The sequence below is a fragment of the Homo sapiens genome, chromosome 10 (assembly GCF_000001405.40).
Source record: "Homo sapiens chromosome 10, GRCh38.p14 Primary Assembly".
In the NCBI taxonomy this organism is placed as follows: domain Eukaryota; kingdom Metazoa; phylum Chordata; class Mammalia; order Primates; family Hominidae; genus Homo; species Homo sapiens.
The window spans coordinates 60,213,801-60,235,025 of NC_000010.11; the positions used below are offsets into that span (position 1 = coordinate 60,213,801).

Here is a 21,225-nt window from a genome sequence, read left to right on the forward strand (position 1 = left end):
TAATTTGATGCTCACCATTAACAAAAACACATGAATAAACTCTAAAATAGAAATTTGTAATAGAAATTCTACATTGGTTCTTTTTCCATTCCATTTCCCCTACATAATTTTATCTTAATGTAATTTTATGCTTGAAGGTTTTTTATTGATTACTACATATTTCTCTGCCATGAAATTATATAAGTTTAAATTTAAGAAAGGTTGAAATATTTCCTGACAATACATTCCTCTAAGTGTAAAAAACAAATCACCTGACTGGATTATTATAATTATTTGAATATAACCAATCAAAACAGCAAAAATATATAAAAAGTTTTGTGACCATTCCACAAAAACAATGTATTAAAAATTTCTCTTTTAATTAGATATGCTTTTTTCACGACTAGTTTATGTATCTGCTAATGAAGATTAGTTATTGCTAGAATAAGACAGGGTTCAGCATCAATATTAGCCCTGATTTTTGCTTTTATACATATTAGTGCTGAGAAACCTTGTTCATGTAGACTGTTGTAGTAGAGTTACGAATTCTCTGAATTCCATGTGAAAAATTACTTAATGATCTTTTTTTGTCTTTAAAATCTTTTTGAAAAATTTCTGCTAAAAGAAAAAAATGGGATACATGTGCAGAACGTGTAGGTTTGTTACACAGGTACATGTGTGCCATGGTGGTTTGCTGTACCTATTGACCCATCCTCTAAGTTCCCTCCCCTCACCCCCCAGCCCCCAACAGGCCCTGGTGTGTGTTGTTCCTCTCTCTATGTCCATGTGTTCTCATTGTTCATCTCCCACTTATGAGTGAGAACATGAGGTATTTGGTTTTCTGTTCCCGTGTTTGTTTGCTGAGGATGATGGCTTCCGGCTTCATCCATGTCCCGGCGAAGGACATGATCTCATTCTCTTTTATGGCTGCATAGTATTCCATGATGTAAATGTACCACATTTCCTTTCTCCAGTCTATTGTTGATGGGCATTTGGGTTGGTTTCATGTCTTTGCTATTGTAAATAGTGCTGCAATAAACATACGTGTGCATATGTCTTTATAGTAGAATGATTTATATTCCTTTGGGTATATACCCAGTAATGGGATTGCTGGGTCAAATGGTATTTCTGGTTCTAGATTCTTGAGGAATTGTCATACTGTGTTCCACAATGATTGAACTAATTTACATTCCTACCAACAGTGTAAAAGTATTCCTATTTCTTCACAGCCTCCCCAGCATCTATTGTTTCCTGACATTTTAATAATTGCCATTCTGCCTGGTGTGAGATAGTATCTCACTGTGGTTTTGATTTGCATTTCTCTGATGATCACTGATGTTGAACTTTTTTTCATATGCTTCTTGGCCGCATAAATGTCTTCTTTTGAGAAGTGTCTGTTCATATTCTTTGCCTGCTTTTTGATGGGGTTGTTTTTTTCTTGTAAATTTGTTTAAGTTCTTTGTAGATTCTGGATACTAGCCCTTTGTCAAATGGGTAGACTGCAAAAATTTTCTCCTATCCTGTAGGTTGCCTGTTCACTCTAATGATAGTTTCTTTTGCTGTGCAGAAGCTCTTTAGTTTAATTAGATCTCATTTGTCAAATTTAGCTTTTGTTGCCATTGCTTTTGGCGTTTTTGTCATGAAATCTTTGCCCATGCCTACGTGCTGAATGCTATTGCCTAGGTTTTCTTCTAGGGTTTTTATGGTTTTGGGTTTTACTTTTAAGTCTTTAATCCACCTTAAGCTAATTTTTGTATTAGATGTAAGGAAGGGGTCCAATTTCAGTTTTCTGCATATGTCTAGCCGGTTTTCCCAGCACCATTTACTGAATAGTATATCCTTTCCCCATTGCTTGCTTTTGTCAGGTTTGTTGAAGATCAGATGATTGCAGATTTCTGAGGTCTCCGTTCTGCTCCATTGGTCTATATGTCTGTTTTGGTACCAGTACCAGGCTGTTTTGGTTACTGTAGCCTTGTAGTGTAGTTTGAAGTAAGGTAGCATGATGCCTCCAGCTTTGTTCTTTTTGCTTAGGATTGTCTTGGCTATATGGGGTCTTCTTTGATTCCATATGACATTTAAAATACTTTTTTTCTAATTCTGTGAAGAATGTCAATGGTAGTTTGATGGGAATAGCATTGAATCAATAAATTATTTTGGGCAGTATGGCCATTTTCACGATATTAATTCTTTCTATCCATGAAGATGGAATGTTTCTTCATTTGTTTGCATCCTCTCTTACATCCTTGAGCAGTGGTTTGTAGTTCTCCTTGCAGAGGTCCTTCACATCCCTTGTTGGCTGTATACCTACGTATTTTATTCTCTTTGTAGTGATTGTGAATGGGAGTTCATTCATGATTTGGCACTTATCAGTTTAAGGAGTTTTTGGGCTGAGATGGTGGAGTTTTTTAAATATAAAATCATGTCATCTGCAAACAGAGATAATTTGACTTCCTCTCTTCCTATTTGAATATGCTATTTCTTTCCCTTGACTGATTGCTCTGGTCTGAACTTCCAACATTATGTCAAATAGGAGTGGTGAGACAGGGCATCCTTGTTTGTACCAGTTTTCAAAGGGAATGCTTCCAGCTTATGCCCATTCAATAATGATATTAGTTGTGGGTTTGTCATAAATAGCTCTTATCATTTTGAGATATGTTCCATCAATCCCTAGTTTGTTGAGAGTTTTTAACATGAAGGGATGTTGAATTTTATCAAGGGCTTTTTCTGCATCCATTGAGATAATCATGTGGTTTTTGTCTTTGGTTCTGTTTATGTGATGGATTATGTTTACTGATTTGCTTAAGTTGAACCAGCCTTGCATCCCAGGGATGAAGCCGATTTACTCGTGGTAGGTAAGTTTTTTGATGTGCTGCTGGTTTCGGTTTGCCAGTATTTTACTGAGGATTTTCTCATCGATGTTCATCAGGGATACTGGTCTGAAGTTTTCTTTTTTTGTTGTGTCTCTTCCTGGTTTTGGTATCAGGATGATGCTGGCTTCATAAAATGAGTTAGGGAGGAGTCCCTCCTTTTTAATTGTTTGGAAGAGTTTCAGAAGGAATGGTACTAGCTCCTCTTTGTATTTCTGATAGAATTCAGCTGTAAATCCATCTGGGGCCTGGGCTTTTTTTGGTTGGTAGGCTATTAATTACTGCCCCAATTTCAGAACTCGTTATTGGTCTATTCAGGGATTCAATATCTTCCTGGTTAATCTTGTGAGGGTATACGTGTCCAGGAATTTAACCATTTTTTCTAGATTTTCCAGTTTATTTCCATAAAGGTGTTTATAGTATTTGCTGATAGTAGTTTGTATTTCTGTGAGGTCAGTGGTGATATCCCCTTTGTCATTTTTTATTGTCTATTTGATTCTTCTCTCTTTTCTTCTTTATTAGTTTAGCTAGTGGTCTATCCATATTGTTAATTTTTTCAAAAAAACAGTGCCTGGGTTCATTGATTTTTTGGGGGGTTTTCACGTCTTTATCTCCTTTAATTCTTCTCTTAGTTATTTCTTGTCTTCTGCTAGCTTTTGGATTCATTTGTTCTTGTCTCTCTAGCTCTTTTAATTGTGATATTAGGGTGTCGATCTGAGATCTTTCAAGCTTTCTGATGTGGGCATTTAGTGCTATAAAATTCCCTCTTAGCACTGCTTTAGTTGCCTCCTAGAGATTCTGGTACATCGTCTCTCTGTTCTCATTGGTTTCAAAGAACTTCTTGATTTCTGCCTTAATGTCATAATGTTTACCCAGGAGTCATTCAGGAGCAGGTTGTTCAATTTCCATGTAATTGTGTAGTTTTCAGCGAGTTTCTTAATCCTGAGTTCTAATTTGATTGCACTGTGGTCTGAGAGACTGTTGATTTCAGTTCTTTTGCATTTGCCGAGGAGTGTTTTACTTCCAATCATATGATCGATTTTCGAACAAGTGCCATGTGGCACAGAGAAGAATGTGTATTCTGTTGATTTGGGGTAGAAAGTTCTGTAGACGTCTACTAGGTCCACTTTATCCAGAGCTGAATTCAAATCCTGACTATCCTTGTTAATTTTCTGTCTCATAGATCTGTCTAATACTGAGAATGGGATGTTAAAGTCTCCCACTATTATGGTGTGGGAGTTTAGTCTCTTTATAGGTCTCAAAGAACTTGTTTTATGAATCTGAGCGATCTTTTATTGGGTGCCTATATATTTAGAATAGTTAGCTCTTCTTGTTGAATTGCTCCCTTTACCATTATGTAATACCCTTCTTTTTCTTTTTGGACCTTTGTTGATTTAAAGTCTGTTTTGTCAGAGACTAGGATTGCAACCCCTGCTTTTTCTTTTTCTTTCTTTTTTTTTTTTTTTTTTTTGCTTTCCATTTGCTTGGTAAATTTTTCTCCATCCCTTTATTTTGAGCCTATGTGTGTCTTTGCACATGAGATGGGCTTCCTGAATAGAGCACACTGATGGGTCTTGACTCTTTACCCAATTTGCCAGTCTATGTCTTTTAACTGTGGCCTTTCGCCCATTTATAGTTAAGGTTAGTATTGTTATATGTGAATTTGATCCTGTCATCATGCTGCTATTTGGTTATTTTGCACATTAGTTGATTCTGTTTCCTCATAGTTTCATTAGTCTTTATATTTTGTCATGTCTTTGCAGTGGCTGGTACTGGTTTTTCCTTTCCATATTTAGTACTTCCTTCAAGAGCTGTTGTAAGGCAGGCCTGGTGGTAATGGAATCCCTCAGCATTTGCTTGTCTGTAAAGGATTTTACTTCTCCTTCACTTATGAAGCTTAGTTTTTAGCTGGATATGAAATTCCGGGTTGAAAATTCTTTTCCTTATGAATGTTGAATATTGGCCCTCAATCTCTTGGCTTGTAGAGTTTCTGCTGAGAGGTCCGCTGTTAGTCTGATGGGCTTCCCTTTGTAGGTTACCTGGCCCTTTTCTCTGGCTGCCCTTAACAGTTTTTCCTTCATTTAGACCTTGGAGAGTCTGATTATTATGTGTCTCGGGGTTGATCTTATCATGGAGTATCTTAATGGTGTTCTCTGTATTTCCTGAATTTGCATCTTGGCCTATTTTGCTAGGTCGGGTAAGTTCTCCTGGATAATATCCTGAACTGTGTTTTCCAGCTTGTTTCCATTCTCCCCATCTCCTTCTCATATTCTAGTAGTAGGTCCAGTCTTTTTATGAAGTCCCATATTTCTTGGAGGCTTTGTTCATTCCTTTTCATTCCTTTTACTCTAGTCTTGTCTGCATGCCTTATTTCAGCAAGGTAGTCTTCAAATTCTGATATCCTTTCTTCTGCTTGGTTGATTTAGCTATTGATACTTGTATATGCTTCATGAAGTTCTCACGCTGTGTTTTTCAGCTCCATGAGGTCATTTATGTTCCTCTCACAACAGGTTATTCTAGTTAGCAATTCCTCTAACCTTTTATCAAGGTTCTTAGCTTCTTTGTATTGGTTTAGAACATGCTCCTTTAGCTCAGTGTAGTTTTTTATTACCCATCTTCTGAAGCCTACTTCTGTCAATCTGTCCATCTGATCCTCCATACTTAATGATCTTTCACCCAAAATTCTTCTCAATGATCCGTCACAGGACAACTTTATTAGGTCTTTCATTTTTGTGGGCAGCAAGGGGTTTATCAGATCATTAGAATCAGGCAGTTATCAGCAGAATACCAATATTTTGAATTTTTCTGCTTGCCCCCGCCACCTCAGGGGTTTTTGCACCCTTGGGCAATGTGCGTGAGAGAGAGCTAGGCTTTTCTTAGTACTAGGGCAGAAGGAATGTGTGTTAAAGGATCAGTGGGAAGGGAGACTCTGCAGGAAGTTGAGGAAGTAGAGAGTTATTCACTTAAAACTAAGTGGCCCCAATCCCGCTGGAGAAGTTTTCACAAGTGTTCTTGGTTTAAGAGTTCCCCAACTTGAAGATCCCTGAGACTGGTACTTAATACCTACCCTAAGGATAATCACATTAAAAAATACAACAAAATTTGATTCAATACGTTCATGTAACTTTCTGGATTGTGTGAGCAGATATTGAAAGTAAGCCTAATTATTCTAATGTATAAGCAACAAGATACAACCCTATTTCTAAACTACTAGCCAAATCTCAATAGTATTAATGTTATTTAAAAATAACATTTGAATTGCAAATAGTACATGGCCTAATTTGAACATTCTTTGGAGCACGTTTATATCTTCTGCCTTTTATGTTGATTTAAAACATTTGCTTTTATAAACCAAAGTAAAGCAGCCTTTCAAGTGAAAACAGCATTTTACTATTAAAATAAAATCTGGAAACATACAAAAAATAATGTCCAAATGTCTACTTCATAATGTAAAACCTGAAGACATCTGATGGAGAAATAATATACAATAATCACATCCACTTTCCACCACCTACACAAAAAACATTTCATACAGACTGCAGTACAGTGATTTTTTTTTATGAACTAAAAGGTCAAAATTGTTTCATTTTCTCTTCTGCAGATTCTAAGTAAAAAATGACAAAATATGCATAGAGATGTTTGTAAACCAAAAATAAATGTCTAAGGCCCCGAACCATCTGAATGGACCCCTCCTCTCAGCCAAGGGCATTCCAAAATTAACCTGCAAAACTACTTCAGGTCATGATGGGTAAGGGAAGCCAGGCATGCCTCATTCTGCCCTCCTCCTTTTCGGAATTACTGATAGAACAGACTCTTTAAATCTGATAAGAAACATTTACAATCTATTCTCTCTGAAGCCTGGGAGGTTCAACTGCATGATAAAACCTTGGTCCCCACAACCCCTTATCATAACTTAGATATTCCTTTGTATTGATAATAACTCTTTCAACCTGAATAACTCTTTCAATCAGAAAATCTTTGAATCCATTGATGACTTGGAAGACCCTCTGCTTCCATTGTCCTGCCTTTCCAGATGGAAGCAATGTACATCTTGCATGTGTTGACTGATGTCTTGTGTCTCCCTAAAATGTATACAACCAAGCTGTACCCGAACCACCTTGGGCACAGGTTCTCAGGATCTCCTAAGGGCTACATCACGGGCCACCAGTCACTGATATTTGGCTCAGAATAAATCTATTCAAATATCTTACCAGTGTCTGACTCTTTTCATCAAGAATTTCAAACTGTGCTCACACAGAAAAATAACTATTTTAGCTGCACTCATTCATCCTTGAAAATTATCTTCCACAAAGCAAAATGCTACATACTGAATGCAAAGTGTTTGGCTAAGAGCAAAATCTATCTCATCCATCAACTCCTTAATCCTTTGAGGTATACTGTTTCTTCTTACAGATACATATTTTTTGTTGATTTTGCCTTTTTTTTTTTTTGAGATGGAGTCTCGCTTTATTGCTCAGGGTGGAGAGCAATAGTGTGATCTCAGCTCACTGCAACCTCCGCCTTCTGGGTTCAAGCGATTCTCTTGCTTCAGCCTCCTGAGCAGCTGGGATTACAGGCGCCTGCCACCACGCCTGGCTAATTTTTGTATTTTTAGTAGAGACTGAGTTTCACCATGTTGGCCAGGCTGGTCTCGACTTCCTGACCTCAGGTGATCCTCCCACCTCAGTCTCCCAAAGTGCTGGGATTACAGGCGTGAGCCATCGTGCCTGGCCTGATTTTTGTCTTTTCAAAAGAAGTTTTAATTATAAAAAATGTCAGACATATTGCAGATTAACATAGACAGAATATTATAACGAACCTCTGGGTACCTAACTCAGCTTCCACAATTGTCACCCCATGGTCAGTCATGACTCATCTATATACTGACCAAAAGTCAAACCCTTTTCTTGTATTATTTTGAAGCAAATCCAAGACATCATATTATTATATCCTCATGATTAGTGCTATAAGAGTATAATATTGATTTGATAAATAGAGATTCCAAGGTTCAAAGAAGTGAAATTACTCATTCAAGGCTGCACGCACCAAATTTAGAACGAGGCTTGGACTATGAGTGCTGGCTCTACAAGACAATCAAGGCATGTCTTCAGAGGGGTTACTAAGGCAAAGTCCCTGTGCTCACACTTGCAGCCACTCTTAGCCTTCCCTTAGCTACATTCAGAAGCTGCTACCTCTGATCTCTGATGTTTGTTTACTAACAACATGTGGCATCTAAAGACTCAGTAGGGAAAGGTGACATTTCACCAGTGGAAGAGCTGTGAAGTATTATATTCTTTAGCCATTGTTCCTTTAATCACCTTGCTTCCATGACAAAGTCAGCTGTTTCCCCAAGGTACAACTCATCAGTTCTAGCTGAACTGCAAAGAGCTACCTGAAGCACAACTCTTTCAACTGTAGTTTTCCTTGTAGTATTCTGAACACTGACTTCAAGTGTCAGTCTCCTTTGGATCTTCTACAGATTCAGTCTAGCTCTTTTCAAAGGCATGTAGCTCTTCAAGTAGCCAAAATTGCTGCAGGAGGGATGCCTCATCAGGAAGCTGCACAAGATATCAATGATGCGACTGCCTGGCTGCACAGGCAGCGCTGGCCCAGCTGCTGGGACATTGACAGGTCAGTGGAAAACGAGTGCCTAGGGTGAATGTAAGATCTTTAATTAGCATCACAGTTCTTGCAGTCATGAAGATGGGCAAGACCAGCTGATCCACAGTGGGACTGAAAAGTACCTGCCATTTAATGATTCACACTTAATTCAGTTAAAAAAAAAAAAAAGAGGAGGAAAACTAGCAGGCATTTGTTCCACTTCACTCCACTTTTTGGTTAAAAAAATAAATTTTGAACTCATTTCTTTGGCTTTGAAGCTGGTGTGGCCTATCACTCACTTTCCTGACACACGGTTCTGATTTAGGATGCCATTCTGTTCAAAATGATCTTCACTAACTGTCATTCACAGTTACTCCTCAGTCAAGTCTAAATTCTTCAAGTTAGCATTCAAAGTCGTCTAAAATCAGTTCCTGCTATACTTGGTCCAACTTGGCCTTTCCTGATTCCCTTAACTTATACTGCAATTAACAAACTCTCTGCAGCTTCTGATAAGAGTCCCTCCGTTGTTTTACTGTCTTGCCCACGCCATTTCATGTACCTGAGAGTTCCTTTCCCACTTCCTACAGGATCCTTACTATCTTAGAGCAGAGCATTTCTTTGAAATCTTTTCACAAATTAAATGGAATCTTTCTACCTTCCAGACTCCTGTCTTATTTTCTATACCTCTTTTGGGGGACCTGTAACTTTTTACCTAGTATTTTCTTTACCTGTGGGCACACATGAATATTTCCAGTGACAAAGATGCTCTTCCTTGACTTAACTCTAGTCAAGCTTCTCTGAATTCTCTTCTCATCTAGACTTTTGGCTTTCCATATGTTAGTGTCTGCTTAGTTCAGTTTTAGCAAGACTCCTACTGGATCAGTTTAATGAAAATCCCAACCCTTTCTATTAGATCAAATTCCTTATCTCCCACCCTGCCACTCTTATCAATCTGACCTGCCTTTGGCAATAATCTTGTCAAGTCAGTTTAGCCAGAAGTGCCCCTACCCTTGACATTTCCTCTTAGTAATTTTCTATTTACTGACCTCAACCCTACTCCTTGGCTATAAATTCCCACCTTTCCTTGCTGTATTCAGAGTTGAGCTAGATCTCTTTACTACTATAAAATTCCTTTGTAGTAGCCCCCTTTGGATAAAGTCAGCTTTACTGTTTTCTTACAAGTATCATGAATAATTTTTTAATTTAACACTAGTTTATCTCTGAGGACAAGATTACCAGCTTAAGGGATAAATGAATCTTACAGAGGAGGTAACTTAGTACTATGTCCATGAAAGTTGCCTAATAAAAATTACTGAGTAAATGAATGAATGGAGTGAGTGAATGAATGTGTTTTCAGGCTAGTGAAAAAAAATATTTTCTAGTTAGTTGTTTAAAATTATTTTCCTTGTTATCCTTTTTGTTTAAGAGTAGACTCATTTTGTCTACTTCAGTAGCACTATTAAAATACCTTATTTTTCCAGAAAAGTAAAATTCTCGATAGAATAAGTGACTTGTAAATTGGGATTTGATTTAAGGATGTGACTAAGTCTCTTAGCTTTCAGAATTTGTTCTAAATAAGATTTCCTTTTTCTACTCAGAATACTAATAAGCGTAATAAAAGAGCTATGGTTGATACTGTGCTTTGCAATGTAGCAGAGAACTGGCATATTCATTTCCCTAAAATTAGAGCCACGCTTTTTTTTTTTTGAAGCGGAATAAGGATTCTTACTTGCCTCCAACCCCTAGAAATGTATAATTAATGAACAAAGTCACTTAGAATGAGCTGGAGACCAAAAAGCAGTTTTTCAACTGCATAGAATAGTGTTGATCTCCAGTTGAAAAATGCTAGACAAAGGCAATTTCGGGGGATTGAGGGAGGGGGTGCCTCAAGAAAGGCAACATATGCAGTTGGACAGGAGAGAATGAGAGGGATGCTGAGTTGCCATAGTAACATTACGGAAGGGAAATGAAATTGCATGGGGTTAGTAATATTTTCCAATTCCCTTGATTTTTAAAGCACTCACATAATGAACAAGTTTCCCTTGGGCAGAATTCTAAAGCAACACAAACTGGCTAGTCCAGATCTCATATTTCATTTTAGTGACAGTAATCTTATTAGTGAGGAGGGGAACTGCACGTTACTCGCCGGACAGAATGCTCTCATGTTAGCCTAAGAGCAAATCCTTGTACATGCGAAGGTCAAAAGACTTTCCGGTCTGATTTTTCTGAAAAGCATGAAGCAGGATGTTAAGGCATCACACCTAGGACTATGAAACCAGAATGTGTCTTTAGCAGGTCAAATTTGCTCAGTGTCACTGAAGTGACACAAATTCGTGGTTTGGGAAATATTTTCAAGAAGAGACATATTTATTTTGATTTGTATCCTTTAGGATACTCTTTCTTTTCTTTTTCACCAGCAAAATAAATAAATAAATACAAACTCCTCACTCTAGAGAAAGAAAAGGAATTCAAGCAGAGAGAACTCTGCAGATAGATCATGGCTGTAGAACAGGATATAATCTTTAATTAAAAACTGAAAACAATGAAAAAAATGTAGAGAGTCCTTCAAGAGAAGAGAGCTATGATGATAGTGAAAGATAAACTAAAGGGCATCACTTACAGTCTAATAGCTAAGCTCTTTTCTTTTCTTTTTTTCTTTTTCTTTCTTTTTTTTTTCTTTTTTTTTGAGACAAAGTCTTGTTGTCACCCAGGCTGGAGTGTAATGGCACAATCTCAGCTCACTGTCACCTCTGCCTTCTGGGTTCAAGCAACTCTCATGCATCAGCCTCCCAAGTAGCTGGGATTACAGGCATGCCCCACCATTTCCAGTTATTTTTACATTTTTTGTAGAGATGGGGTTTCACCAAGTTGGCCAGGCTGGTCTCAAACTCCTGGCCTCAAGCAATCCTCTCACGTCAGCTTCCAAAAGTGCTAGGATTACAGGCATGAGCCACCGCACCCAGCCAGCAAAGCTATTCCATATTGGCATTTTCACCAAAAATTTGGACTGTGTCCTCATTTTTTTTGTGTTAGGCAGTTATCGAGATAGCCTAAGAGGTGAAATAAAATTTTTTGAATGTCCTCTATGATATAGGCACATTATAATTGTGATCTTATTTAATCTTTGCAGCAATTCTATGAGAAAAGCATCAGTAGCTACATTTATAGATGAGAAAACTTCTCCAGGGGATTCATATACCTACTCAAGGTCACATGGCAAGTACATAGAGTAAATAGATAGAATTAGAATTTACATTCAGGATTGCCTCCCTTGGAAGGACTGGGTTCCTTCTACTATGCCAAGCAACCTCTTCAAAAAATATAAGCAGTCAATGTTCTATTTAAGATTAAGAGTTCATTTCTGCCTTTTATATATAGGAGGGAAAATACATTAATTAGCTTCCTTGTTCTACTGCCATACCGCCTATATGTTTAAATGAAAATAAGGTAAAATCCTTTTGTGTCCTCTCTACTTGGAAAACTACAGCCTTCATTCTGAGACTAGAACACACCCTTATGTTATTTGTATTGTAGTTTTCCACTCTGTTCTTTGTGTTTATTGTCCCTCGTTGCTTGTCTCCTTTTGTGCTGGAATTATTTAGTATACTAATCATTGAAACATTATATATATCATTGGCTGTCTTCTGATTTTTTTAGTTAATTTTTTTTGGGGGGATAGTTGTTTTATAAATTAAAATGTGTATCTTTAACTTACTAGTGTGAATATTATAATATTACAAATTGTAATTCCTATAATGTAATAAGATAATTGTATATCATATATATTATATATAATAGAGAGTGTATATAGTATATATTATATATAATATAGAGGATATAGTATATATCTAAATAGTATTTACTGTAATATATATTATATATTATATACTATATGTGGTAATATATAGTATTATATATGTAATACTATATATACTATGTATATATACTATATTATATAGTATATGTAATACTATATATACTATGTATATATACTATATTATATAGTATATGTAATACTATATATACTATGTATATATGCTATATTATATAGTATATGTAATACTATATATACTATGTATATATACTATATTATATAGTATATGTAATACTATATAATATAGTAAATTATAGAATAAATTATAGTATAATATAGTATAACATATATAACATACTATACAACATATAATATATAACATACTATAAAATATAGTATATATACATAGTATATATACTATATATATACATATACTATAGTATATATACATAGTATATATACTATAGTATATATACATAGTATATATACTATAGTATATATACATAGTATATGTATATATACTATGTATATATACTATATATAATCAAAAGCAAAAGTCACTATATATTATATATAGTATAGATAATATATCATAATAAATTATAGTATAATATAGTATAACATAATATACTATATTATATAGTATATATAATACATAGTATTCATTATATAAATAGTATATTATAAAGTAATATTAATATTACATATATACTGAATTAATATACCACTTTATGTATAACAAGAATTCTGCCATATTATAATTATATTTACACTGTTAGTTTTATCTTTTGTGCTATAGCATATATTTTATTTCTACATACTATTACATATCATAGACCTCACAATAGATTGATATTTTGCTTCAACAATTGACTTTTAAAGAACTTAAGAAGAATAATATTTTATTGTATCCACATATTTCCTACTCCTAGCTGTTCTTTCCTTTATGTAGATCCAGTTTTCTTTTTGGTATCATTTCCCTTAGATGGAAGAAATTTCTTCAGTATTTTAGTTCGTCTGGGCCTGATGGTAACAAAGTTATGTCAGCTTTCGCTTGTATGAAACAGTCTTTGTTTTGCTTTTATTATGTAAATATAATTTTTAGTAGATATAAATACCTTTTTTACTAGATATTTATATCAATCTATGTAAGTAGATTGCTAGATATTTTTCATTCAGAACTTTAAAGGTGGCCCATCATTTTCTGACCTTCAGTGTTTCTGATGAGAAGTCAGATAACATTCTTATAATTGTCTTTCCCATTCATGATATGTCTTTTTCTCTGGCTACTTAAATTTTTTTCTTTTTGATTTTTTGACTCTTTGTGTGATATGACTCTGTGTGGTTTTCTTTGTATTTATCCTCTTTGGGGTAGGCTAAGATTCCTTGATTTGAGTGCTGCAGTTTATGATCAAATTTGGAAGTAAATATAAACTTATTTTATGCCCCATTCTCTTTCTCCTTTGCCTGTTGGACTACATTGTATAGATTTAGTCGACTTGCTATTATTCCACAGGTTACTGACATAGCAGTGTATTTTATTTTTAATCTTTTTTCTTTCTGTGCTTTAGTATGGATGATTTCTATGACTTGTGTTCAAGTCCTCCAATTTTTTTCTTCCTTTGTATTCAATCTGTTATTTATCCCATGTAATGATTTTTAAAATATTTCTGATACTGTGTTTTTCAATCTTAGGATTTCCATCTGGTTCTTTCCCCCGCATTATACTCGTTTCTCCTATAGCTTAACATATTTATCTTAGTTATTTTAAATTCAGCAAATTTCAACAGTGGAGTCATCTGTGGGTTTGTTTCTATTATCTAACTTTTCTTTTGACTGTCGGTCATATTTTCCAGTTGACTTTGTTTAGTAATTTTAAAATTACATACTGGGTATTATGTATGATATGTTATAAATAATTTGGAACTTACAGCAGCTTGGTTTTGTCCAGAGCTGATGACTTTTCCCAGCAGAAGGCTTAGTCCAATGCATGCTATTCCATCATAACTTAATGCCAGAACTCTCATATATTTGAATAAAAATAGGATATGTGACCTCTGCATATTACGCCATCATAGTTTGTATTTCTTTCTATCATGCACCACTTACGAATATTTCTTCTATGAATACATGAGAGAATTCTTGACTTTCCAGTTGGTAGATACTGAATAACCTACTATAAAATATGATTTTGGCCAGGTGCAGTGGCTCATGCCTGTAATCCTGCACTTTGGGAGGCCGAGGTGGGCGGATCACGAGGTCAAGAGTTCGAGACCAGCCTGGCCAATATGGTGAAACCCCGTCTCTATTAAAAATACAAAAATTAGCTAGGCGAGGTGGCGTGTGCCTGTAATCCCAGCTACTCAGGAGACAGGTACGAGACTCACTTGAACCTGGGAGACGGAGGTTGCAGTGAGCTGAGATTGCGCCACTACACTCCAGCCTGGGCAACAGAGTGAGACTGTGTCTCCAAAAAAAAAAAAAAAAAAGATTTCAAACATACAAAGGTGCTTTTATATGCTTCTTATAAGATGTTACATGTTTGAAACAATTTAGTATTCATAATTTACAAAACACTAATAACTTCTTTTATCTTTATCTTTCCTTTGAGGAAGGAGGGTAATTAAAGATGGTTATAGTTGACAGCTATAGGGTAATTTTGTGTCTAACTGATGTAGAGCTATTTAAAAAAAAATTAGATGTGAGCATTACCAACATACATTAAGAAACAGTAGGAGAAAAAGCAGACAACATTCTGACCATTAGCACTTGGAACCACATAGCAATTATCTAAAATAAAACTGTCCTGAGCCTATTTTGTTGACTCTTCAACAGAACCAGGCATACGACATTTATTAGGTTGGTGCAACAACAATTGTGATTTTTGCCATAATACTTTTAGATCTCTAATTTGGCAAGGGAAATGAGGTTTACAATGTAGTGTAAAAACTTTAGGAGAGGGAGAAAAATAAAACAAAAGATGCTCCCTCCATGTTCTCAGAATGCTTTGCAACTGTAAAAAACATTCTTTCCTTCAAAGATATTCTCTCGTGTTTTGAAAGCTAGTGGCATTTCATGATTACTGGTCCTTCTTTTAATCTAAATAAATATTTTCAATTAACTTGTAATTTTTTGACATAAAAATGAAAAAATTGATATATTTTTATATGACATGAAGAAACATTTTCAGGCTAGTTTCAACTAATATAGAAACCCAGGGTCTTCTTCACTATTTCTAATGTTCTTGTCAACATATCTATTTTAGAACTCAAGGAGGAAGTACTGTTTTAGAATTTCTTTTTCAGAGAGACTATTCTATGACTTTGAAATATTTAATATTTTATTCAAGGATTTATTTTTAACTTTGGACAATCACATCCCTTGAAATATAATCAAAAGCAAAAGTCAGTATCAATAATTCTTTTTTCTTAGTATTTAACCTGAGAAACAGAATCAGTTACATTTCTGGGAAAGCATGGGCTGAAATTATAGTACATCCAAATGTCCCCTGACACCTTCCCAGGCAGTAAAAATTTAACAATTGACAGATTGGAAGTGCCTTGAAAACACTTCATCTACCTGAGCATAAATACTTCTTTATTCTTGTACATAAACCGGATGCCATTAACTTCAGTGGAAAAATTACGTTACCATAGGACCAGTATAAAGTCAAGTAAATTAAGATGTTTTGACAAATGTAATATTAAGAAGTATATCTTATTTCAATATATTCAGCAAACACTTATTAGGCATTTAATATGCACCAGGAAGTGTGCTAAGTATGCTAAGTGTGGCAGACACTAAGATGACCACGTGCATCTTAGAGTTAAGGTGTAGCTTTGCAAATAATACTGTGGTAATGGGTTTCTCTGAGGATGCAGGCAGTGGCAACTCGCTAGAAAGGCTAGAAGTTGGGAGGGGCACAGTTAGAGTAACATTCTGGCAATGAGAGTATTGTTATTACCAACACTACCGGGGATTCTGCATCTTCTCTGAAGCACTAAATACAAGTATAGCTGCTTTTATTATTAGATGGAGAGGAGTCAGTGAAAAGAGATAGAGAACTCAAGTCTCAAAATGGTTCGGATTTAGGGTCTATATTGAGTCTCTGATTGGTCTGTGAATTGATGCAGAGCAAACTAAAAATGACAAGAGACCATCCACTGCAAAGTATCTTCCTTCAACATGTACCAAATACTCACGCTAGCTTTAAAGAGGGAAGAATTCAGTGGAAAGAAATAGGGGCCATTCTCAGCAAAACATTTTAGTCTATAAAGAAACGAAGCCATTGTGATCTTGTTGAAAAAATGAACTACATAAATCATTTTAAAATTAGAAAGCTGCATATAGACCAGATTGACAAATATGCCTTGATAGGTGTTTATATCTCAGCACATGTCCCACCACTATGACAGAGATTCTCTATATACTTACTATCAACAGGAACATGAGTTAACAAGCCAGTTGATATTAATTAGCATTATGGAGCTGGGAAAATGGGAAAGACTTTCCTGAAATGAGGTAAATAGAAACATGAAGGGTTTGGGGGCTGGGTGCGGTGGCTCACGCCTGTAATCCCAGCACTTTGAGAGGCTGAGATGGGCAGATCACGAGGTCAGGAGATCAAGACCATCCTGGCTAACACGGTGAAACCCCATCTCTACTAAAAATACAAAAATTAGCCGGGCGTGGTGGCGGGCACCTGTAGTCCCAGCTACTCAGGAGGCTGAGGCAGGAGAATGGCTTGAACCCAGGAGGTGGAGCTTGCAGTGAGCCGAGATTGCGCCACTGCACTCCAGACTGGGCGACTGACAGAGCGAGACTCCATCTTAAAAAAAAAAAAAAAAAGAAACCTGAAGGGTCTGTAATTCATCATATCCTAGCTAAACACCTCTAAGAAGATTCATGTGCAATCATCCTAAATTTTACAATAACTAATTATTCTTAAAGTTACAATTTCCAGTGCCCTTCCAGCTGAGAGAGTGAGATCTTCAGGAACAACTTTCTATCTGTACTGGCTGGAAAACTATGACTCAGAAGGGTGAACTTTTCTCAGGTCACAATTTCACTACTTGCTAGTCACACTTAAGATTACAGATCAGGCACTAGGGTGAAATTAAATTCACTCATCTGCCTTTCCAGCTGGTAATATCTTGCTCTGATCCTACCTAAATTACACTGAACACAATTCAAGTTTACATCCTTGAATGAAAGAGCTCTAAGAATCTTCTTTTAAACTGAATCCTCTATTCTGTGAGCACCCAGGCAGGGCACAGAGCAATAGGAACAAGGTCCCTTACAGTGCTGTCCTCTGAGGTGAAATCCAGTGATGCTTTCCTGCCTCTAAAACACGGGGGATAAGTGTGTACCAGATCAGATTTATTGAATGCAAGCAAGGTTGCCACAATAGTAAGTACTTGGTGGGAGGCAGATGGATAGATAACGGTATCTATTTTCTCAGGGGCTACCGGACTGGGTAGTTAGAACTTGTTTTTGTGACAAATTCTCCTTTCTATTTTTAGGCTTGCCCCCATGGCTTTCTGACATTTTAGCCCGCTCCTTCCCTTTCACCCACACACCCAATCACTACTTCATCATTTCAGCAGGAGAGAAGGGACATTTTGATGAAGAGAACACAAAACAGTTTACATATTTCAGGTATATACTATAATTTCTCCCATTTAGTCTGCCAGAAATTCAGTCTGCCCAACTGACACCCTTCCCCCAACCCATTCCATTCAGGACAACTGCAGAAGAAAATGTCAGGCTTTTCTGTTCTCTGGTTCTCCATGTCTTTCCTTCACATAATACAGGAGGAATGTAAATCCAAGTCAAAACTGAGTGGGAGGTACAAAGGAATCTGTATCTTTGTCGAAAATAAGACAGCCCTTCGGAACAGGGAGGCAAAGTGGCACAGAAACCAAGTTGCACACCAAACTTTGCCTATGTAGATTATTTCCTATATTTGGTACTTTCATCAGAGGAATTTGTATGTTTTTCTCCTGGCCCTCCCCTGTGACCCTCTATGCCCTCTAAAGATGGGGCCTGAACTTCCTATGTATCCTTTTCTCCTCCCATTGAACGAAATAGGACATGTAAGTGTTTGACAAATGATGAAAAATGACTGACAAATCATTTTGCTGTTCTGTTGATTGACTATATCACCAGAGAGAGAAATAAGGTAATTTCCAATCCATATGCCAACTGAAATCTGTATATCCGGGCACCTCTTCAAGCTTCTCTTTTCTGCGTGTCTTGGTAACCCTCATTTCCCTTTGCAAAGATTCCTCCTCTTTACAAATGTTCCTTTTTCTCCATGTGATAATCAGGCAACAGATGCAATGCATCTCTACTTTTTATTCCTTACAACTCCTTAAATAGCCTGCGCTTTTTAAATGGCAGAAGACCCCTGCCATTTAAAGCAATGGTTCTAGCATTCTTTACATACTGATAATTGCTTCTTACTGGAATGATGCAAAATCAGTTCAGTAAGACCTATATTCAATTTACCTCTCCAGTAAGACAGTCATTTAGGGGTCGGCCTTCCTTTCTTCCCTTTTCCTATTTAGAAAGTTTGTTTCTTTTAAGGTACATACATGGTTTCCAGGTTCAATGGTAATCAAGAAAAAGAAGTCTAGGTCTCCTGCCTATGGCTGGGCTGTCTTAGGGTCAAAGTACAGAATACAAACTAGACCTTTTGTTTCATAAGGGCAGGGGAAGTGTTGTGGTGTCTTGCTCTGTCACCTGCTATGTCTGGCCCACAGTAGACACTCGACGATCATCTATTGGTTGAGTAAATAAATGCAAGGAATAAAAAATGAAGTAGTAAATCAAAGCACTACAGAAATTAAGCTGAGGTTACCAGGCCAGTTTTAGGATCATGGAATCAGAATTTTTAGAAGAAGGAAGCACAGGATTGCAGGAGTTGCAGTTACAAGAAAACTACTTAAAACCCTTCGATAGATGGATGTTTGTCGTGAGACCATCTTTTGATTAGATTGCTTCTTGCACAAGAAATATTGAATAAGAAAACCCGTGGCTAGAACTTTAATACTAACTGGAGCTCTGAGATATACTAGCAGTGGCTAGAATTTATTTCTGCCCTACTTTATGCCAGCACAGTTTACAAACATTATCTTGATCTTTGCAACAACCCTACAAGGTGGCCATTAATTTTCTTTATTTTCAGATAGAGAAAGGACAATCAGTAAAGTTAAATAGCCTACCTAAGTCAGCTAGCTAAGTTTAGAATTTGGATTCAAATCAAATTCTAAGTCTTGGTTTTTTCCCCTACCCACAATGCATCACTCCAAAGAAGCAACATGACATAAACACCTAGATTAGACATATTTGTGGGTTTTTATAATTTTTTAATTAAAAAATGTTGTTTTGTTTTGTTTTAGAGACAGGGTCTCACTCTGTTGCTGAGGTGTGATCAAAGCCTACTGTAGCCTTGAACTCCTGGGCTCAAGCGATCCTCCTGCCTCAGCCTGTTGTACAGCCAAGACTATAAGTGCATGCCACCACTACCAGTTAATTTTGTTCTCTTTTATTGGTAGAGATGGAGGTTTTGCTGTGCTGCCCAGGCTGGTCCCAAACTCCTGGACTCACGTGATCCTCCTGCCTTGGCCTCTAAAAATGCTGGGATTATAGTTGTAAGCCAGTGGGCCCAGCCTTTAAAAATTTTTAATTGTGGTAAAATACATACAACATAAAATTTACCCTCACAATCCATAAGCAGACACTTCAATAATGTTAACCACATTCACACTGTTGTGTAACAGATCTCTAGAACTTTTTCATCTTGCAGAACTAAAACTCTATACCCATCAAATAACTATTTCCTCTACCCCCAGTCCCTGCCAACTACCATACTACTTTCTGTTTCCATGATTTTCACTATTCTAGATGTCTCAGATAAGTGGAATCATACAGTATTTGTCCTTTTGTGACTGGTATATTTCACCTCAGCATAATGTCCTCAAGGTTCATCAATGCTGTAGCATGCAACAAGATTTCCTTCTAAGGGCCGAATAATATTCCATTGTATTTTAAAATTTTTAAATTCATTCATCTGTCCATGAACATTTGGGCTGCTTTTACCTCTTGCCTATTGCTGCTATGAACATGGTTATGCAAATATTTTGAGATCCTGCTTTCAATTATTTTGGACATATACCCAGAAGTGAGATTGCTGGATCATATGTTAGCTCTATTTTTAATTTTTTTTGAGGAAGCTCCACACTGTTTTCCATAGCAGTCACATCATTTTACATTTCTACCAGCAGTGCACAAGAGTAGACAGATTTGTTTCTAAATAGAATAACTTGCAGTTTTAGTATCAAACTGACCGAACAGCTTAGCTTACAGTGTCTTGAAAATTAAATGCAACAAGAACTCTAGAACTTTTAAAGCCAGGTACCATTTAACTGTGAATTAAGTATTTATAAATATAGATGGATGGCCATACCATTTTAAAAAGAATAAAAGTAGCAGTCATTTTCCAAGAGACTATAACAAATAGAACAGAAAACAAAGCTCATGTTGTATCAGTGCAAAGGTATCAGGAAAAGTATTCCTACTTCCTGAATACAAGTAGAAGCAGGTACATAAGTTGCACACTTACCCTGGTTTTGGCATCGATTTTAGCTCCTCGATCGAGCAATAGTTTTACCATATTTGCATTTCCTCTTTTTGATGCAACATGTAAAGGAGTGATGTCATTCTGGGAAGAAGAGGAAAAAGTACAGATTTGATATTTTTGGTTTCAACAAAACGTTCCTTTCTAAACTTCCCCCAACATATCCCCATTTCCCCCTCTCCTTTTCTAAACATCCTTTATGAACAGTGTGCTTCCTAATACTTCTGACAGGAATTTTCTTCAGAAGGAGACTTTAAAAAGGAATGAATTGTAAGGGAATCTGTGAGGCAGGGTCCAAGTTAATTTATTTCAATCACTTGAGG

General features: G+C 36.3%; 1 protein-coding gene across 4 annotated transcripts in view; it reads right to left on the reverse strand.

Annotated features, from left to right (window-relative positions):
* ANK3 (ankyrin 3) overlaps positions 1-21,225 on the reverse strand; it is a 707,231-nt gene that overhangs the window by 187,503 nt on the left and 498,503 nt on the right. For all 4 annotated transcript variants that reach the window (NM_001204403.2, NM_001204404.2, NM_001320874.2 and 1 more), the window contains one exon: positions 20,888-20,986. In NM_001204403.2, the coding sequence (NP_001191332.1) occupies positions 20,888-20,986 (99 nt within the window). The remainder of the gene's footprint in view (positions 1-20,887; positions 20,987-21,225) is intronic.